General features: G+C 35.6%; 1 protein-coding gene and 1 pseudogene across 1 annotated transcript in view; one reads left to right on the top strand and one right to left on the bottom strand.

Moving 5' to 3' along the window:
* Window positions 1-21,095, bottom strand: part of NDC80 (NDC80 kinetochore complex component) — a 45,079-nt gene that overhangs the window by 3,182 nt on the left and 20,802 nt on the right. The window contains exons 11-16 of the mRNA NM_006101.3: window positions 17,833-18,038; window positions 14,283-14,435; window positions 11,969-12,058; window positions 6,947-7,039; window positions 4,624-4,754; window positions 2,593-2,695 (exon numbers count right to left, since the gene is read on the bottom strand). Coding sequence (NP_006092.1) covers window positions 2,593-2,695; window positions 4,624-4,754; window positions 6,947-7,039; window positions 11,969-12,058; window positions 14,283-14,435; window positions 17,833-18,038 — 776 coding nt within the window. The remainder of the gene's footprint in view (window positions 1-2,592; window positions 2,696-4,623; window positions 4,755-6,946; window positions 7,040-11,968; window positions 12,059-14,282; window positions 14,436-17,832; window positions 18,039-21,095) is intronic.
* On the top strand, window positions 18,501-19,974 carry KATNBL1P3 (katanin regulatory subunit B1 like 1 pseudogene 3; annotated as a pseudogene).

Here is a 21,095-nt window from a genome sequence, read left to right as displayed (position 1 = left end):
ATCACAGAGACTGGTCTTTCTGCATCAATACTACAATGTGCTAGTTATTACAGCTTTATAATAATTCTTGGTATGCCTAAACAGACCAAAAAAGAAAAAAAAGGTGATTTTGTGTCTCACAGGAAAAGCAAAGTTTTTCTGTAAAGAATCAAATAATAACTACTTTAGGCTTGGCAGTCTAGATGGTTTTCTTAACAATTGCTCAATTCTGCCACTGTAGTGCAAAACCAGCCAAAGATATACTAAAACAAATGAGGTGGCTGTGCTCCAATAAAACTTTATTTACAAAAGCCGGCTGTAGGCCCAATTGGGCCTGCAGGTTGTAGTTTGCTGACCCCTGGTCTAGAACATCAAGCCACATGTGAGACCTTTATGGGGCTCCAACCAGGAACTGCTCAAATAAACACTTTGTCCCACAAGAAAAATATTCCATCTAAAAGTACCTTTAGATCTAAACCCCCCTCTCTGTTTTCTTTAGTCCAACTTGATTACTCATTGTAAAGTTTCCTCATTTTGCCTGATCCTGTTCAACAAATATTGTTTATTGGAACCACACTCGTTTGACTTTCTATGGTTCTTCCATATTTTATGAAAGCTATTAAGAATTTATACTGATTAATCATAAATTTTGCATAGTGCAAAGTAAGCGCTTAGTGCTTGCTGAATTTGGTCTAATTTTCCTAATAACACCAAACTATACAGAAACTAAAAAATAATAGTAACTTACCATTAGGTTTTCAAATCTAGCTTTATGTTAACTGATTAAAACATTGATAACTGTGATTACTTCACACAAATCCCTAGTGATAAGTTACTACTGAATTAACAAAGGACAGACAATAGAGCTGCAGATAATAGAAAATCACTGCCAGGCGAGTGGCTCATGCCTGCAATCCCAGAACTTTGGGAGGCTGAGGTGGGCAGATCACTTGAGGTCAGGAGTTTGAGACCAGCCTGGCCAACATGGTGAAACTCTGTCTCCACTAAAAATACAAATACTGGCCGGGCATGGTGGCACATGCCTGTAATCCCAGCTACTTGGGAGGCTGAGGCAGGAGAATCCCTTGAACCTGGGAGGCGAGTTTGCAGTGAGCCGAGATCGCGCCATTGCACTACTGCCTGGGTGACAGAGTGAGGCTATCTCAAAAAAAAAAAAAAAAAAAAAAAAAAAAAAAAAGAAAGAAAAGAAAGTCAGAGGTGCTAAGGATGTTCACAACTGTTTAGCACAACTGCTTCATTTTTACAGATGAAGAAACTAAGGACTCAAAGATGTAAAATGACACATAAAAACAGGCTCTGTCAACCTAAGCCATCAATTGTATGCTATGAATAAACTTTTCTCTTATGCATCTAGAATAGAATTATTGTATACTATGATTGGGAAAATGAGAACATATCACTCAGATAATTTTTTGTCCTATGGTTCAGATGAATAACACTGGCTGAAAAGGATCAGGCAAGGTTATAGAAACACTTAGTGCTTGAATTAGAAAGTGGGTAGAACCCACGTTTTCTGACATAGCATCTAGGATGCTTTTCTTAGTTCTTCACACTAAAAAGTGAAGACCATTGGCACCAAGAAAGCAGCAGTTCAATGTCTTTCAGGGGAGAGGATGGGTAGTAGGGTATCACATGCTCATGTTTTCAATAAATGGAAGTCTATTAATATGATAAAGTGAATTTTTTTCTTAAACCATACTCAACTGGAAATATATTATCACCTAATAAATTAACCAAGAATTTTATAGTTCAGCAATTTATCTTAGCTTCTGGGGCTCTGTGCAGCAGGTTGGAGGGATAGTTTTATTGGTGAACTTTAGCTGTGTGAAGAGTGGGGATGAGGTAAATAAAACTCATACTTTTGAAATACTTTACTTTGTGCCTATATGAAATCACAGAAAGGAATAACGATCATCATAAGATATGCCCTTTCATCTTAAGCTTAATGAAATCCTAAATGTACGATAAGTTTTCAAATGTACTAATATGTTTTCAGTATGTAGAACATGGCCTGGCATAGCATCATTATACATTGTTGGTGTAATACATAACATCATATGTTGTTTATGCAAATACAATAGATTACTTTATAAAATGCACAAGTGGGCTGGGTGCGGTGGCTCACGCCTGTAATCCCAGCACTTTGGGAGGCCGAGGCAGGTGAATCACCTGAGGTCAGGAGTTTGAGACCAGCCTGGCCAACAAGATGAAACCCTGTCTCTACTAAAAATACAAAAATTAGCTGGGCGTGGTGGCAGGCTCCTGTAATCCCAGGTACTTGGGAGGCTGAGACAGGAGAATCATTTGAACCTGGGAGGTGGAGGTTGCAGTGAGTTGAGACCATGCCATTGGACTCCAGCCTGGGTGATGAGAGTGAAACTCCGTCTCAAAAAAAAAAAAAAAAAAAATGCTCAAGTGTTCCCCTGCATCACGTTGCCACATCACTAGACAAGATTCTTCTGATAAATTTTTGCCAGATCATACTTTAAATAGAAATAAAATTCATCATTTAATTTATATGGAAGAAAGCAGAAATGTATCAAAGTTTTAAAAACCTTTCTTAGAACGTAGGAAAGACCATCACATACTTACCTCTACAGACCCAACATGTGTAGCAACCATCTCTAACAGACGTTGCAAGTTATTTCCCACTTTTCGTCTTTCTTCAGTCGTGGTTTGCACAACTAGTTGGTATCTGTAGAACAAAAACTCTTGTTTAAGTTGTCCAGGAAAAAAATTAATACATCCGTTCTAGTTAGCTCACTTCCCATTTCCACATTCAAAAAAACCAAACTGTGATTGATTTATGTGCTGCATACTATATGTATAATTTGTAGAGGTCCCACTATCAATAATTAAAAGAGAAATATAAACATTTTCAAAGATCCTTTGCAAGCAACAAAACAAAAGAGCACCATGTTTTAACATATAAAGCTTTGGAGCGAAGGGTTGTAACTGAGTCTCCAAAGGGATTGTAAACTCAAATGCTTTCTGGGCAAGACAAAAATTTGCAAATGGGGGAGTAGAAGTCTTACTTATAGGAATTCAAATTCAAATTAAAACCAATAAAATTGCAGGCCAAATAAACCTCAACTGAGTTTTCTCCCCTTGGCCTACAAATAAAGAAGTGAAGAGAAATGACTTTCACAAGGCTTGTACTTGCAATCTCAAAATAGAAAATTTTTCAGTTATTTGAGGGCAACTTAAGACTTAAAAAATGTATATTTTACATAAATGTACACGGAGCCTATGGATTAACTGTTCAGTATATTGATTTTATATAAGTTGCTCAAGAGCATTATATACACAGAGACAGAAAATTATTTAAAGAAAGGATGCCACTGTTTGTAGTTGTAGTTATTATATAGTGTGGCTAAAATTTTTCCTATGTAAGTTTTAAAAATTGTGAGGGAAACTGAGAAGGACGAGATCCTGACAACGTATAATTTGATTATAAAGTACTTCTAAGAAATACAACAAAATATATAGGCAGTTCTGTTGTGTTTGTTTGGAAATATGAGCGCAATCTGGCAAATTTCATGTTTGCTTATGCCAGTTTCTTTCCTGAGAAATACCTGGTGAATGCAGAAAACCGCACCCAGCTGAATCCAGATGCAAAAGAATACACACATCTAAGCACACACATCAAATGTACAGCAGCTACTCAGTGCACTGCATATGTAATGAGCCACATGCATCCAGTACTGATGGTGCAATTTCCATCCCACTTCAGATAACCCACTTTCTACCTCTTTACAGTAATTCAGTCTGCAGCCTTCTGAATGCCCATTTCTCAAATCAAACTAGAGGTCTTTTTATTATGAAGGGTCCCATATTTATTGTAGCATTATGTATTTCTTAGCCATTAAGTATGTGTATCATTGTGCTAACATTTTTGTTTGATTCTTATCTTTTGTTTATATGTGTTACTGATGGAGTTTTTAATTTTTTTAGAGATGGAGTCTTGCTATAGTGCCCAGGATGGCCTTGAACTTCTTGAACTTCTCAAGTGATTCTCCTGTCTCGGCCTCATGAGTAGCTGGGACTACAGGTGTGTGCCACTGAGCCTAACTACTGATGAAATTTTAGTGCTGTGCCTCAATATCAGTTTTCCCGTAGGTCCTGTGATTTTTATGGCATGATTTTGCACAGCATGGTAACTATTTGGAAGGCATATGCTGTGTTATAGTAGACTGACTATAATTTATAGTATAATTACATTTTACTATATAATATACATAATTTCTAGGAAATAAAAACATGAGCTCAGTGGAATTTATTAAAGCTTAGTGGAATTTTATTAAAATTCACTAACAGCCAAATTTATTTGAATTGATTTAAAATTTTTTATGTTGTTTTCAGGGATTAAAAGCCATGTATTAACTAGATCTAACGATTAATGATTTCTTGGTGGACAGTAACTCTAATACTAACAGAATGTATCTGTTGATAGGGAAAGTTCTCGAGTTATAAGCAGTTGTACTTAAGTTCTATATACCATTCTTTCCATCCTAAATAGCTGTATACTATAAATTAAAGCAAATAAAAATAGATCTAATTTTATGGAACTGTTAAATTAATAATCTGAAAATAAACGTATAAATCTTGGTGAGATAAACTTACTCCCGCTGAACAGCATCTAATTCATTCATAGCTTCACTGAGCCCCTGGTTAACAGTACTTTCTAGCAGGTGCTTGTGTTTCTCCAAGGACTCAAGCTCACTGGCACATTTTTCATCCTCTTCCTCTGCTTCCTATCAGGATAAAGTCACGGTTATGGGTTTCTTGATATTCACATTCTGTATACTCTAGGTGGATTTAAAACAATTATAAAAAGCACTTAAATAAAATCAGGTTGCATCATTTGTATTCTCAAGATGCTTACTGTTTTACATGCAAGAGACTTTAAAGTGCTCCTTTGGGAATCCTGTATTATAAAAACAAATGCGGCTGGGCATGGTGGCTCATGCCCGTCATCCCAGCACTTTGGGAGGTTGAGGTGGGTGGATCACTTGAAGTCAAGGGTTTGAGACCAGCCTGGCCAGCGAGGTGAAACCCCATCTCTACTAAAAATACAAAAATTAGTTGGGCATGGTGGCATGCACCTGTAATCCCAGTTACTCATGAGGCTGAGACATGAGAATCGCTTGAACCCAGGAGGTGGAGGTTGCAGTGAGCTGAGACTGTGCCATTGCATTCCAGCCTGAGCGACAGAGCGAGACACTGTCTCAAAAAAAAAAGGTGATTTTATTATTTTTTAATTTGAAAATATTTATTAAAATTTAAAATATATATAAGCTTTAAAATATATATAAACTTTAATTCGATGCTTCAGAAATTTATCAAAGGGAAGGAATGGAAAAATACATAAAGATATACAAAGATATTCACAGCAACATTATTGGTCAGTTGAAAATTTAGGGAAAAAATTAATAAGGGGCTAGCTAAATAAGTTATATATATATATATATATATATATATATATATACTATGTATATATGTAAAATAAAAACACAATAGAAGGATTGCTCTCTCTACATTTGTATGAAAAGATATCCATGATATCTTTTCTTGAGAAAGACAGATTATGAAAAACTATGTATAATTTGGTACCATTAAAAAAATATATGTTTGTATATCTGGAAGACACTCCCTAAACTTTAACCATTGTTTCTAGTGATGGGATTATGGTGGATTATAAGGTACATTTCAGTTCCCATTTTATACATTTCTCTCGAGTCTCTATTGTTTCTAATGAGTATTTATATTATGAACAAAAAATACTTTTTCCTTTAAAAAATTAAAAAGTCACTTTATTCTCAAAGATGCAGAAACTAAATAAAATTGGTTCAGTTTTTAGGGCGCCAAGGTCAACTGACTAGAATTCAGTAGTGAAGTTTTTTAGTTTTTTGGTGAGTTGGAAGTATTTACCAAATGTGACCTTTTCAAAAAGCTTGCATAGGATTCATTCAGCAGTATTTTCCAGTCTGAACAACAGGAAATTTTATAATATTTTAATTAAGATTTTTTCCCATGAGCTTCAAGGAAGCCTTATCTAGGTCCTTATTTCACAGATGTATTAACTATGCACAGGCAAAGTAGCCCAAATTAATCATTTCTAAGGTTTGTGAAGATTAAGTATCATAAAACCTTTCATTTAAGTGCGTCAGAGAGTAAACTCAAGCATTGTCATGGAGGATGTGTGAAAAAAGAAAAATGATTACCAATGTCTTATATTTCACATTTAGATCATATTATGTGGTATATTTTCTAAACATTTCACACCGTTTAAGAAAACAAATAGGTCCTAAATATAACACAGGCAAAGAGAAAAGTTTTCAATTCCTAATACTTTGTTGACATAAGTAAAAAATATTGGCATAGTTAAAATTTTCACATGAATTGTGTAAGTGGTAATGAATAGAGTCATCTGAATACTTTAAGTAAAATGCTGGTCAGACAGTAGAATGTTGAAGAATCAGTCTTTTTATTTTACCCACCTTCTAGATTGCACGTAAACAGTCTTTGGAATTTGACCAGGATAGTCAGTTTACAATGACTCTTGGTGGGCAACTACATATTCAAAAGACCTTATTGGGGTTCAGGCTTTAGCAGTACATAACAATAAATCTCTACAAAAAGGTAGGAGAGATTCTGTTTAGTTTTGCAAGGATACTGAGTCATATGCAAGTATAAAATACCAGATAAAGGAAAAGTAAATGTTCCTTTTCTATGGTAAAACAGCCCTAATCCAGAAAAATGTCCTTTAAAGAACAAAATAAAATGACTCCTTACGATAAACTTTGGCAGAGAAAACTAACCCAAGATACAAATTATAGGATATATATAGCTTAAAGATTTTGATTTTGATGTCAGAATATGTGACTCATCAAGCAATCATGACATAGCTTTTGATAACCTACGCAAACTGTGGCAAAGTTCTTACCTTAATTTTTTGTTGGTAAAGATCATCCAGCTTTTGAACTTCTTCTTTCAGAGTTCTCACACTTCTCTTGCTTTCTGTTATCATTGCATTCAACTGGGGAAATAAAACTTTGGTTGAGAAATCATAACTATACATCAAAGATATTTTAACAAGTTATAGAGTTTTTATATTATCAATCAACTAACTGAACAATGTTATTTCTTCTAGTCCTTTTGGACTCTCACTTATCATTTGTCCAAAAACTTTATTATTCTCCAAAGAGAAATTAATTTCAAAGAAACCTCAAAGTTAACGATGTTAATATCTGTTTTTCCACTAGTTGTTGTGGGAGTGCTTTTTAAGCTCTCATATATATTATATATTATTAATATTGTTATATCAATTTATTCATATATAAATAATTTTTGCCTCTGGATTTGAAATCTAGCTTTATTTAGACTATATCTACTACAGCTATTTAGCTTTTCATTTGTATGTTCATTTTCTAAAATGTTAAAAAAGAATTGTTTGTATTAATTTTATTGGATGTTTGCTATTATAGTCATGCATTCCTTCAAAAAGTAATAAGGTAACCACATTTAATCTTGTTAAAGCTTGAACTTTAAGATCAGTTGAAACCAAAACTGAAAGAAAAAAGTGTTTTTCAAGTTCATTTCCTGTTGGCAAGTGCTGATACCAGTTGATGTCAGCAATTAATAGAGAATGTTCTTCAGCTATACCAAGAGGAAACTGTTTCCTGCAGGAAACACAAAAGAGTAAAATGTATAAATAGCTGACTTTTTTTTAAAGGATAATTCTACACACATATGAAATTAAAAAAAAATTTAGGGGTTCAAATTTAGTGAAGCTATTATTATTTGCTACAAAACACAGGGTAGTGACATATACAACTAGCATACGCCCAGAACTCAAAACCAGATCTAACACCAAGAACTTTTTCTAAAGGTATGTTATATCTGCAGTAACTAACAAGTTAAACGAGTTGTTTTAAATTCACTTGTAATAACAACAACAGATACTCAAGTAACCAGAACTTCCACTGATTCTCATGGTTGGTCAAAAGCATGTTTACTCATCTCTGAGCAGCTTCTACTTTCCATGTCAGCATTACTAAAGCTGCATTAATTACTTAAACATTTTTTTCTGAGTCCCAAAGTACACATTTCCATTGTGTACATACACACACACACACACACACACACACACACACACACACACACACACACACACACATACATATAGCCCGCCCGACTCCAATTGCCTACTGGACATTCTCCACTTTGATGCCCCAGAGACCTGAAACTCAGCATATCCCAACCTACAATTCTCTCTTCTATATACTTCTCTTTTATATTCTTTATCAAGGTAAAGAACATCACCACATACCCATCTGCCAAAGATAAGACACCTGGGCATTCTTGATTTCTTTCTTGACCTTCACATACAAATGGACAACCAAACTGTTGTTTCCATCTTTAAATCTCCTTTCTCCGTCTTCACTGTAATAGCCTTGCTTTGGGTCCCTACCATTTACTATTCACTGTATAGGATATTGATAGGTCTCTTAATTGCATGGTCTCGTCTCATGCACCTCTCATCTATTCTTCAAAAGGCCAACAGTGTGAAATTACTAAAATAACAATAATTATTGTTATTTCCTTACTTATAAATCTTCATTGATCTCTACTGCCTAAAGAATACAAAAAAATTCAACCAGTAAGGCAAGCCCCTTCATAATTAGGTTCTTGTCTCTCCAGGCTTCTCCCTTATCTCACTTACACTCATGGTAATTTACTAATATGCTGTGCTCTTTGTTTTTTCTTTTTGGAGAAAGGGTCTCACTTTGTCACCTAGGCTGGAGTGCAGTGGCACAATCTCAGCTCACTGCAGCCTCCACCTCCAGGGCTCAAGCAATCTCCCACCTCAGCCTCCAGAGTAGCTGGGACTACAGGTGCATGCCACTACATCCAGCTAATTTTTATATTTTTGGTAGTGGCTGGGTTTTGCCATGTTGCCTGGCTGGTCCTGAACTCCTGAGCTCAAGCCATCCACCCGCCTTGGCCTCCCAAAGTGCTAGGATTACAGGCGTGAGCCACTATGCCCGGTCCATGCTGTACTCCTTGGTCTCTGGTCCTCAAGGTGTATGTGTGTGTGCATGCATGTGGATGAACATGAGCATCCTTCTGTGTATCCATTGGCCAACACCTACTTGTTATTCACAACTCAGCCCAGCTATCACTTCTCTCAGAAGGAGCCTGTACTTAAGTGTATTATGAGAATCCACAGTGCGCTGTATTCACATTACAAAAAGCTATGATAGAAGAAATTGTTTTCATGCCCATCTTCCCACTTAAAATGAAGTTCACAAAGGCAGATGCTGCACTGTACTAGTATCACCATCTATTACAGTACTAGGCACATAAGCACTCAAAAAATATTTGCTGCATAAATTTCAGTTTCAAATATTTAACTTTAACCTTTATTTACATTCATATTCATAAGTGTGATTAGCTTAATTTCTTCTTTTTGTAATATCTTTGTCATGTTGTGGTATGAGGCCTACATTAGCCTTATAAATGAATTAGGTCTCTTTATGCTCTATGATAATTTACATGTCACAGAAATCATCCAGTCTTCAGTATTTGAAAACAGTGACCTATGAAATTATCCGTTATTGGAGTCTTTTGAAGAGCAAATTCTCTTTTTCACTTTGGTTTCTGGTTACTTACATATTTTGACTTTTTTGGGATTTCTATTGTTCAGGTTACAATCCATTTCATCAAAAAATTTTAAACATAAATTTCTGTTTATACTATATTACTTCATAATTCAAATAAATTTCCACCATCTCTATAAACTATTTCTCATTTTATATTTTCCTGCTTTTTCTTAAATGGTTTTGGCAATTATTTTAAAATACTTTTCAGGTTAAATGTTTTGTTACTCTAATTTATTAATTTCTTTATAAACTTTATTATTTCCAGTTGCATTTTACCCCATCCCATCTTAACTTAAACTACTTGTCCAATAGGAAAAACAATTTTAGTTGTTAGTCTCTGTATGACATTACTGATCTCTCCCTTCTTGAAAAGTTTTCCCTACTTTGGCTTATATATATTACATAGGTGTATATATATATATATATATATATGTATAAACATATTCTCTTCTGTTGTTCTCCAACTAATTTTGTCCACTTTTTCTAAGAGTTTTTCCCAGAATCTCCTTCCTTTGCCGGTCCCTTAAATGTTGTTACTCTTTAGGATTCAATCCTCTGCCACTTTCCCCTCCACATTCATCCACATATATGGCTTCAACTATTACATATGCTCTAATGACCATCAAATCTGTATTTTCAGCCCTGATCTCCTTCTTACACTCTGAATCTATAGCTTCTGCTTCCTCCTGGATATCCTACAGACAGCAAGCTCAACATCTCACCACACCCTACTTTAAGTTTTCCTCCTTTAGGTTAATAGCACTATGATTCACTCAGTTGCCCACATCAAAAATATGGAAGTCATGTTGATACTTCTTTCTCCTCAAGCTTGCACATGCAGCCATGAAATCCTTGGGTTCTACCTCCTTAACATTTCCTAAACCTGTTTCCTTCCCTCTAGTTCTAGTATACATTGGTTTAAGTCTCCTAACATTTTCAGTTGCATCCCCTCTAAGCCATGTTTTCCTGTAGCCCAAAGGGTTTTGTAAACCTAAAAATCTGATGAGCATAACTGTACCTATGTCAGCCTTTTTCTCTATATGGGAGTGCCTGAAGGATGTATTTATCTCTAGGACACTAACATGGGTCCTAGTCTATAGTAGCCATTTTATAACTTTCCCCCATCTATAGCCTTTAAAAAGTTCAAGACAGTCTAAAAGATGTTTTAGATATGAAGTTCCTGTTGTTTGGAATTCATACCTTTTGAGAATCTCCAGGTTTTAGTACCCATTACAGCAAAAAACAGAAATCAAAATGAAGCAGGCTAAAGGAAGACTTCACTGCAAATAATCATCATTCCCAGGGAGCAGTCCCAGGGAGCAAATTCCTCATCTTTTCTCCATAGATATTTTAGAAACTGCGAATTACAGCAATAATAGTATGATGTGATCAAACTCTTCACTTATCTAATGTTACAAATTTTTCTATTTTTCTGAGAATGTAAAAATTCTAATACAAAGTAAGTCTTGATAGAATTTATTAATATTGGAAAAATGTCTTTCTGTGGGTTACTAGCATAATTATTTGTGAAATGCCATAGGTTTTGTTTCCAGATTGAGAAAAAATAAACAAGCTTCTCTTCTGAGAAAACATAAAATTTCATTTTATATCTTGAAATCTATTAGCCAGATCACAGTAGTTCCTGAAGAGCTGAATTAACAAGGGGTTTCCTTTAACTGCTTGGTGTCCTATAAATGAAATCCTTTGTGTGTGCATTTGAGAAGTAGCTTAACTTTTCTTAACTAACAATGTTTACTTTAAAGGTTACTAAATACAATAATAGAATTTTCCTTTTCAGGGATATAGGTGATATTAAGGATCTCAGAAGCAGAGACTACCTGAAATTCACTTTTGGAAATAGACTTTGAAAGGAATTTGAGTTCTCCTGAAATTCCATGATCCAGAATCCAAAAACTTGGTAAAAAGAAACCTCTTAATCTATCACAGCTAATTAGCTTCTAACGCCGTAATTATACTTGCCTACTTTCAAGGTAGCCACTTGAAGCCTCTTTTAGTATAAAAATATTAAATTATCTCAAGTTAGAGACACTTCTCTATTAAAAAAAGGAAAATTTACTTAGTTTCATCTCGCTTCATCATATGTGATGTGTGAAGGCTAGGATGTTTAAATGTCTTAATAAGTTACTTCAAATATTTCTGTCGAGAGCATACCCAATTCTCATTTTTTCATAGTTTTGTTAAAAAATTAATTCCTTAGCAATCAGAAACCATAAATAACTTTTAATTTTAGGTTTTAAAATCTAATTTTCACTTTTTATGACTTTTTATGTTTTATTACTTACTTGTTCTAAAGTATCCTCCAAACCCATTTTTTTATTTAGGGCTTTATTAATTTCTTCTTCAGTTTCATTCAGGAGTTCCTTAAGAGGTACCTATAAAATACATAGGAATGTGGGTGACATATAACATTTAATTACAAAATATCCCTCCTGAAGCATCTACACACTGTGATAGGAGGAGTCACTTTTGGAGAAAAACTGAAGTTATAACATTTTAAATCTAATATACTGTCAAACAGAAACAAAACTAGTTTTTAATCAAATTTCTGTAAGTGTAGACTATAACCTGCTTTTGGTTTTGAATACTTGCAAAATTCAAGATTTGCTCATCTATCCTGGAAATTCATTGCTATTATTTAAACATTTTACAAGTACACTTAGTTTACTGCAGTATTTTTTTTGAAAACAATTCATATGTAGGTTGTATTTTTATGCTATGTTATCCAGAAGTATCAATTTCTCTTAATCCTTTTCAACTGTTTAGTCTTAGGATTCTCTGCCTGTATTTCTTATGTTTATTCTGTTCTACTGACTTTAACACAGCACTTCATTGCTTGTCATTTTTCTAAATTGAGGTGAAATTCACACTTTAAAATGGTTAAACTGAAATACTTAGGTTAAAATGACGTTAACATACAATTAAACATACAACATAAAATAAACATAAAGTTTAACATAAAATTATAGCGTGTAATTCAGTGGCATTTAACACAGTAACCATCACCTCCAGTTCCAAAACATTTCATTATGCTGAAATAAAATCCCATATGCCATTATGTTTTAAGTAGGTCTTTTGAAGTTATTGCTGAGTTTTAATTTTGGCCTGCTCCTTGCAAAAGATGCAATGGCCTCTTCAATCTCTCTCTCTGTTTTTTTTTTTTGAGATGGAATCTCACTCTGTTGCCCAGGCTGGAGTGCAGTGGCGTGATCCTGGCTCACTGCAACCTCTGCCTCCGGGTTCAAGCGATTCCTCTGCCTCAGCCTCCCGAGTAGCTGGGACTACAGGTGTGCACCACCACACCCGGCTAGTTTTTGTATTTTTAGTAGAGATGGGGTTTCACCATATTGGCCAGGCTGCTCTCGAACTCCTGACCTCGTGATCTGCCCACTTAGGCCTCCCAAAGTGCTGGGATTACAGGCCTGAGCCACCTTGCCCGGCCTCTCAAATCTCTTAAAGAACTTTTCACCAAGTACTACTTATAACACTTGGCTTTGTACCTTATTGATTCTATTTTATTGTTCTATTATTATGTAAAACTATTTCTAGAGATGAAATCAAAATTTCTCCTCGAGCATATTCATTCTTCTTTTTGCATTGTGTAATCTTTTCTACAAGAATGTGATTCATGTAATTATTTTCTTGCACCAGCCATGTCAAACTACTCAAAACAGTGGTGAGCAAACTCTGCCTGCCTATCTATAGATAGATTAGTAATAGACTAAATGTTTACTGGATGTATTTTTTCTATTGAAAATGACTATAGCTTGATTTAATCAATGTCTGTCCACTCACAAACTGTTCTCTCTGGTAAAGTAGGGATGTATGTTTCTTGATATTTTATCTCTAATATGTAGCTGGTCTGGAACACACTATGCACTCAATAAATACTTGTTAAATGAATAATTCTCAAGGGAAAAATGTATAGCTTTTGACTTTAATAAACATTCTCCTATTCAAAACTGAAGTATTTTGAAAATTGGCATTTTTAGGGGCAACTCAAATACTAAAATCTATAAATAACTGACAAGTTACAATAGAGCTATTTAAAAATTTTCTTCCCAAAATTACTTCCTTGGCCATATTTTAAAATTAGGCACCAATTTCTCCTTGTTGATTACCAGTATTCTTAGTACTCTAATACATTTTATGCCTTCATGTGTGCCCTTGTGCCTGGAATTCTTTCTACAGACCCTTCCCATATATGTCTCATCTTTCAAGATTTCATTCCACGGTTACCATCTCCAGAGTCTTTTTTGCTACATGGGAAGAACTGATCTTTTCACTATAACTTGTAAAGACTTCTAATTAAGCACATATATAGCATTTATTTATGTCTTTCTCCTCTGGGGGGATCATTAGCAACTTGACAGTAAGGGTTAGGCCCTCTTTGTCTTTATAGTACTGGCATCTATTTTATATGTAATCAATTTTTTTTACTGGATAGTAGAAGATTTCTATGACCGAGAAGAAAGAAGATACAGTTTCAGTGTTTTATTCCTTTGTTTAGTACTGGGTTATGAACAAGCCAAAGTTCAAACTCTTAGAGATACCAATCACAGAATTAAAAAAATCTTAAAAGTAGTCATGATTACTTACATAAACTTGAGCCCTGTATTTGACAAGGCAGTTGGCACCAGCCTCGGGATTAAACTTAATTTCAAAGTCATAACCTTTGGAATTCTCAGCACCTTTAGGAATAAGTTTTAATTTTCTAGCCAATTTGTGATACTCTGCTAATTGTGTTTCAATCTGTAAGAACAGAACACATAAGACATGTTAAAGCAGCCCCATTCCATATGTTTTTTTCAATTGACATTTCTAAAATTTTATACAAAACATATCACACCTATTTTTAGTAGTTTACTAATTCAGTAATCTTTAGCAGTAAGAGTAGCAGTTTTAAAATATACAAAGAAGATAAGGTTTTAGTAACACTTAAATTTACAGAATAATTAAGACTATCAATTGGTGTGTAATGTACTACTATCTTCCATTTATCTGACAGCTTGGAATAAGAGTCCATATTTAGATATTAACTAAAATTTACTTTTTGAAGTGCCAGATAAAGAAATTACGAAACATGTAAAACAAACCAATCTTAGTTTTGTCAATGTACAAATTAAAACATTTCATGTATCCAAAATAAGTAGAATATAATCATTTATGTCTGAAAATGTTATTTTAACTGTATTGATAAAAATATTTTAGTAATATATTTCACATTTCCTGCTCTCCTTCCTTCTTCCTTCAGGGCTCTGTTCAAATAAGGTCATCAGAAAGGCTTTCCCCTAATATAGCACCCTAATTCTTCTAAATGCTTATTTTGTTTTATTTTTCTTCATAGCCATCATCACTACCTGACATATATTTGTTCATCTCCACTTTCTGAATATAAGTTCCATGAAAACAGCTCTATCCTCAGCACCTAGAACAGTGCTTGGCATATAGTAGATACTTAATATTAGATTGAATAAATGAATTTGCAGAGTCTAGGCAACTTGTTTTTAATCTGCTTCCTCCATTAAACACATACTTCGTTTCTCATTGTTATTACCCATCCATAAAAATCAATTTGAGTGAAGGAATGCAATGGTAAGAGCACACGTTGGAACTTGCTTAACCAATTTGCAATTTCCAAAAATGCATTAGATCTCAAAAGCAATATTACTTATACATTAAATTTTGGGCTTATTACTTATACATTAAATGTTGGCTAAATTGGTAATGTATTACCCATAACATTGAAATTAAGTTGAATAATTGGCTTCTCTCATGCCAAGGTCCAGACCCATATATATAACAGCCTATTACCTATTTTCACTTGGACGTGGATATAACACATCCATCCCCATTCCTGTCTCACAACTTCTTCCTTCTCTTCTCTCCCTGAGTGAGTGGCACCTGCCCAATTACCCAAGCCAGACAGGGCAACCACTTCCTCCCTCTTTCATCAAGTTTCATTCGCTCTACCTCTAAGTTGTCAGAATCTACCTACTTCTTTGAATCCTTACTGTCTTTAACTTTATTTTTTTTTTTTTAGACAGAGTTTTGCTATTTTTGCCCAGGCTGGAGTGCAATAGTGGGATCTTGGCTCACTGCAACTTCCGCCTCCGGGTTCAAGCGATTCTCCTGCCTCAGCCTCCCAAGTAGCTGCGATTACAGGCAGGTGCCACCACACCTGGCTTCTTTTTGTATTTTTAGTAAAGACGGGGTTTCACCATGTTGGCCAGGCTGGTCTCGAAGTCATAACTTCTGATGATCCACCTGCCTTGGCCTCCCAAAGTGCTGGGATTACAGGCGTGTGCCACTGCATCCGGACCGAATCCTTACTATCTTTTAGAGAATGATAGTAATTTCTTATTAGATTGCTGCCACAGATTTTCACCTTATCAGAAATAAGATCTTTCTGAGATGTAACCACACCTGTTTAAAAATTTTAGGACCTTCTTAGGGCTTTCTGGATAAAGTCCAAACTTCTAAACAAGAAGAGTCTTCATCCTCTGGTCTATGCTTATCTCTTGAGTCTCATCTCTTGCTCTGTCCCACTTGCTATTTTATTTTATTTTATTTTATTTACTTATTTTTTATTATTATTATACTTTAAGTTTTAGGGTACATGTGCACAATGTGCACATTAGTTACATATGTATACATGTGCCATGCTGGTGTGCTGCACCCATTAACTCATCATTTAGCATTAGGTATATCTCCTAATGCTATCCCTCCCCTCTCCCCCACCCCACAACAGTCCCCAGAGTGTGATGCTCCCCTTCCTGTGTCCATGTGTTCTCATTGTTCAATTCCCACCTATGAGTGAGAATATGCGGTGTTTGGTTTTTTGTCCTTGCAATAGTTTACTGAGAATGATGATTTCCAATTTCATCCATGTCCCTACAAAGGACATGAACTCATCATTTTTTACGGCTGCATAGTATTCCATGGTGTATATGTGCCACATTTTCTTAATCCAGTCTATCATTGTTGGACATTTGGGTTGGTTCCAAGTCTTTGCTATTGTGAATAGTGCCGCAATAAACATATGTGTGCATGGGTCTTTATAGCAGCATGATTTATAATCCTTTGGGTATATACCCAGTAATGGGATGGCTGGGTCAAATGGTATTTCTAGTTCTAGATCCCTGAGGAATCGCCACACTGACTTCCACAATGGTTGAACTAGTTTACAGTCCCACCAACAGTGTCAAAGTGTTCCTATTTCTCCACATCCTCTCCAGCACCTGTTGTTTCCTGACTTTTTAATGACTGTCATTCTAACTGGTGTGAGATGGTATCTCATTGTGGTTTTGATTTGCATTTCTCTGATGGCCAGTGATGGTGAGCATTTTTTCATGTGTTTTTTGGCTGCATAAATGTCTTCTTTTGAGAAGTGTCTGTTCATGTCCTTCGCCCACTTTTTGATGGGTTTGTTTGTTTTTTTCTTGTAAATTTGTTTGAGTTCATTGTAGATTCTGGATATTAGCCCTTTGTCAGATGAGTAGGTTGCGAAAATTTTCTCCCATTTTGTAGGCTGTGCCATGCTAACCCTTCCCTATACTTCCCAATTCAGTTCAGTTGTTCCCTCTTTAAGAAATTCTCTTCTAAAAACCTCTCAGCCATCTCCCCACACCATGTACACTAAATTTGGGCTAGGTGTACTATATGTTTCCTCAGTACCCTGTACACCAAACATTTATTAGAGGTCTCATTTCATGGGAGTAAATGCAAACTCAGTTGGAAGTTTTTGAGGGGAAAGCCAATGTTTTATCTTTATTTCCTCTATGCCTAGCATAAGTGACACACAGCGGATGTTCAATCTTAATGCTTAAGTAGTGAATAGGTGAATGAAGGACTCATTTCCTCTTCTACAGAGTAAAAGGAGTGGGACCTATGAACATTATTTTCATAGTTTTAGAGACTTTTTTGTTTACTTTTTCATTGGGTTATGAAATATAACTTATCTTAAATTTGAGAGAAATTGGGATGTTACTGAATTGACATAAAGGGATGAGTGTTTCATTAAAATGTCAATGCTAATGTTTTACCTCTTAAGCCAATTTACTCTACCCACTGACTTCTTCTTAATTGGGACAGACCTTCAGAAAGGTCAGCTATGATGAGTTGCCACTCTGGAAATGGTATGACATACCGCTTCTTTGCCTCTGGCATATTTTAACTCCTCATTCCACAACTTCTGTTGTTCAGCTTCCAGGTCCTTGGTTAATTTATTAATAGTCTGCTGCAATTCATTTCTTTCATGATTTATTCGCTCAATGTCTGCAACTGAGTACTTCTGGTTGTCAATGATATTCTGTAGTCGAGTGTTCTCCTGTTTTATTGTTTCACATTCTAGTTCTGTGTTGGAAAAAAACCAAATTTTTAATGTATCTTCAATTCCTACAAAGAAACAGATGCCATCATGTAATAGAGCTAAGATATCTAAATTTCCAAGTCATATATATGTGTGTATATATATTATATATATTATATATATGTTTTTATAGTATATATAAAAATTTCCAAGTCTCATATATATATATAAATTTCAAAGTCATATATATACATATGTATGTATATTCTCATTTTTTGAGATAATTCTTTTGATCTTACTTTGTTTATAACATTCTGGAAGATAGGACAATTAAAGTTTTATGTTAAGAAACTTATTTCCCTATTAGCTTGCAATGGTTTTCAAAAAGTACTACATGAAAAAAAAATGTGGCTTCATAAATAATGACTGCCATTAAGAATCCTGGGTTCATGCATGCATCCACATTTGAATGGCCCTGCATGGGGACAAAGGGACATTCTAGGCTGAGGCTCCATGATACCCCAAGGTGCCAATATTTAAGAGAATATGACATTTGAAACTCACAATGTGAAAAAAATGGAACTTTTGTAATATCGAGGATCCCTCCATTGACCTTCCTAGAAAAAGGATCTCTAATTTCACTAATACAACATGAAGAAGGTTAAGAAGTCTCCAAGACAGGTGGCTGCTTACATAAACAGAACAGTTGGACAAGGTGTGAAAAGCCCAGATTAAAGCACATAAGGCAGTCTATTTCAGAAAGTTAATCATCCCTTTCTAAATTCTTGTTACAGAAAAAACAGTTGCCTAGAAGTGGGGATTGTGCCACGGCAAATGAGAAAATGAACTGACTTGTGCAGGCTACCTGCCTGAAAAATTAAGCCATGACAGTTGAGTCACACATATTTGATTAATTCCAGTGATTCTGGTTCTTCCCAAACAGAAAACCCATCATCACAGTATAGTGGGTTTTTTTCTAAGGTTTCTCAGGACCATGAAACAATGGCCAAAATTTTGTTCAGCAGGAAAACTGTTGATTTTTTTCTGAAAAAGCTCATTGAATGTAGCTTTAACTTTTAAGAGAAGTACAAGTGAACTTGTAGCTTATTTGGTGAGGATAGAAGAGCTTGGAGCTGTGGTAGATTGCCTTCTTGTGGTTACCAACAGTTTACAGAAGAAAGCCAGTACACTTGTTACTTCTAGTAAAGTGACTGCTTTAAAGCAAATTTGAAGAGTATGTAATAGTTGATTAAATTGGCTTCAATGGCCAGGTGCGGTGGCTCACGCCTGTAATCCCAGCGCTTTGGGAAGCCCTGAGGCAGGCGGATCACCTGAGGTCAGGAGTTCGAGACCAGCCTGGCCAACATGGCGAAACCCTGTCTCTACTAAATTAGCTGGGCATGGTGGCGCATGCCTGTAATCCCAGCTACTCGGGTGGCTGAGGCACGTGAATCACTTGAATCTGGGAGGCGGAGGCTGCTGTGAGCCGAGATCGCACCACTGCACGCCAGCCTGGGAGACAGAGTGAGACTCCCGGAAAATAAAATAAAATAAAGTAAAATAAAATAAAATAAGCTAGCTTCAAGCAGTCATAAAAAGGTGGTGGTCAGAATTATCATCCAAACAGAAATTATAAATGACGGAAATATTCTGTTTTAAAACAAATAAGTGGATTGTAGGAAATCCACAGGAAAATCATCTTACTTTGGTTCCAGGATATACTGGTATATGATGAGATGCCATAAATAAGAATCAGGATACAGATGCTTATTTATTACAGTTGCATTGAGAGATTTCGTCTACTAAAGAGCATCTGGTTATTCAAAACATAGTTGGACTATATGATTTACAAAAAAAGTTATTGTCTGAGAACTGTGAATTGTGGAAGAATTGTCAAAACCATTTTTTCTTTAAAAGGACACATAATTAAACCCCTAATGAAACCTTAACAGTCTACTTCACATTGAAGTGGAAAAATATTGTAAAGGAACAGCTTCAACTTCAATGAGGTAAAAGTACACTGTGAAGACTGTCTGCCTTTGGGATATGTGGTTATTTGGTAACATTGTTTAAGAACTACTGGATCTTAACGCAGTCCTGCATAAGAATATAATTTATACTATGTGAAAAAATGAGATAAGACTTATTATGGCAGAGGCGGGTGGATCACCTGAGGTCAGGAGTTCGAAACCAGTCTGGCCAACATGGTGAAACCCTGTCTCTACTAAAAATACAAAATTAGCCAGGCGTGGTGGCACACATCTGTGGTCCCAGCTACTTGGGAGGCTGAGGCAGGAAAATCGCTTGAACCCAGGAGACAGAAGTTGCAGTGAACTGAGATCGTGCCATTGCACTCCAGGCTGGGTGACAGAGTAAGAGTCTGACTCAAAAAAAAAAAAAAAAGACACACACACACACACACACACACACACACACACACACACACCAGAGTTTATTCATATTTTACTGACATTTTCAGTGATAACCATACCAAACTGGTCAGGTTTTTGCTTTCTCTGTTTACCAATAGTGTTTTCCAACCTTCTGTGACTCATGGCCTATATTGAACATGATTAGCATTTTTATAGCAGGCTGGGACAAAAGGATGAGGATGACTAAGGGGTCAAGAGAGTCATCCTAAGGGTGGAGAGGATTGGTATTTTGGTATCTTGGTTTGTTACAACCTATTTGCAACACAGTGAACTTAAAGCAAATTCATGGTTAGATAAAGTAAAACTTTATGCATTTATCACAGGCATCTGCACAAAAAATCCACAACATATAATATCTATAAAATTTATGGCTGGGTGTGGTGGCTCATGCCTGTAACCCCAGCACTTTGGGAGGCTGAGGCGGGTGGATCACCTGAGGTCAGGAGTTTGAGACCAGCTTGGCCAACATATAGTGAAACCCTGTCTCTACTAAAAAAAATGAAAATTAGCTGGGCATGATGGTGCACTCCTGTAGTCCCAGCTACTTGGGAAACTGAGGGAGGAGACTTGCTTGAACCCCGGAGGCGAGGGTTGCAGTGAGCCAAGATTGAGCCACTCTACTCCAGCCTGGGCGACAGAGTGACACTCTGTCTCTCAAAAAAAAAAAAA

The sequence above is a fragment of the Homo sapiens genome, chromosome 18, assembly GCF_000001405.40.
Source record: "Homo sapiens chromosome 18, GRCh38.p14 Primary Assembly".
NCBI classification, from domain to species: Eukaryota; Metazoa; Chordata; class Mammalia; order Primates; family Hominidae; genus Homo; species Homo sapiens.
This window is presented reverse-complemented; position numbering and strand designations above follow the sequence as displayed.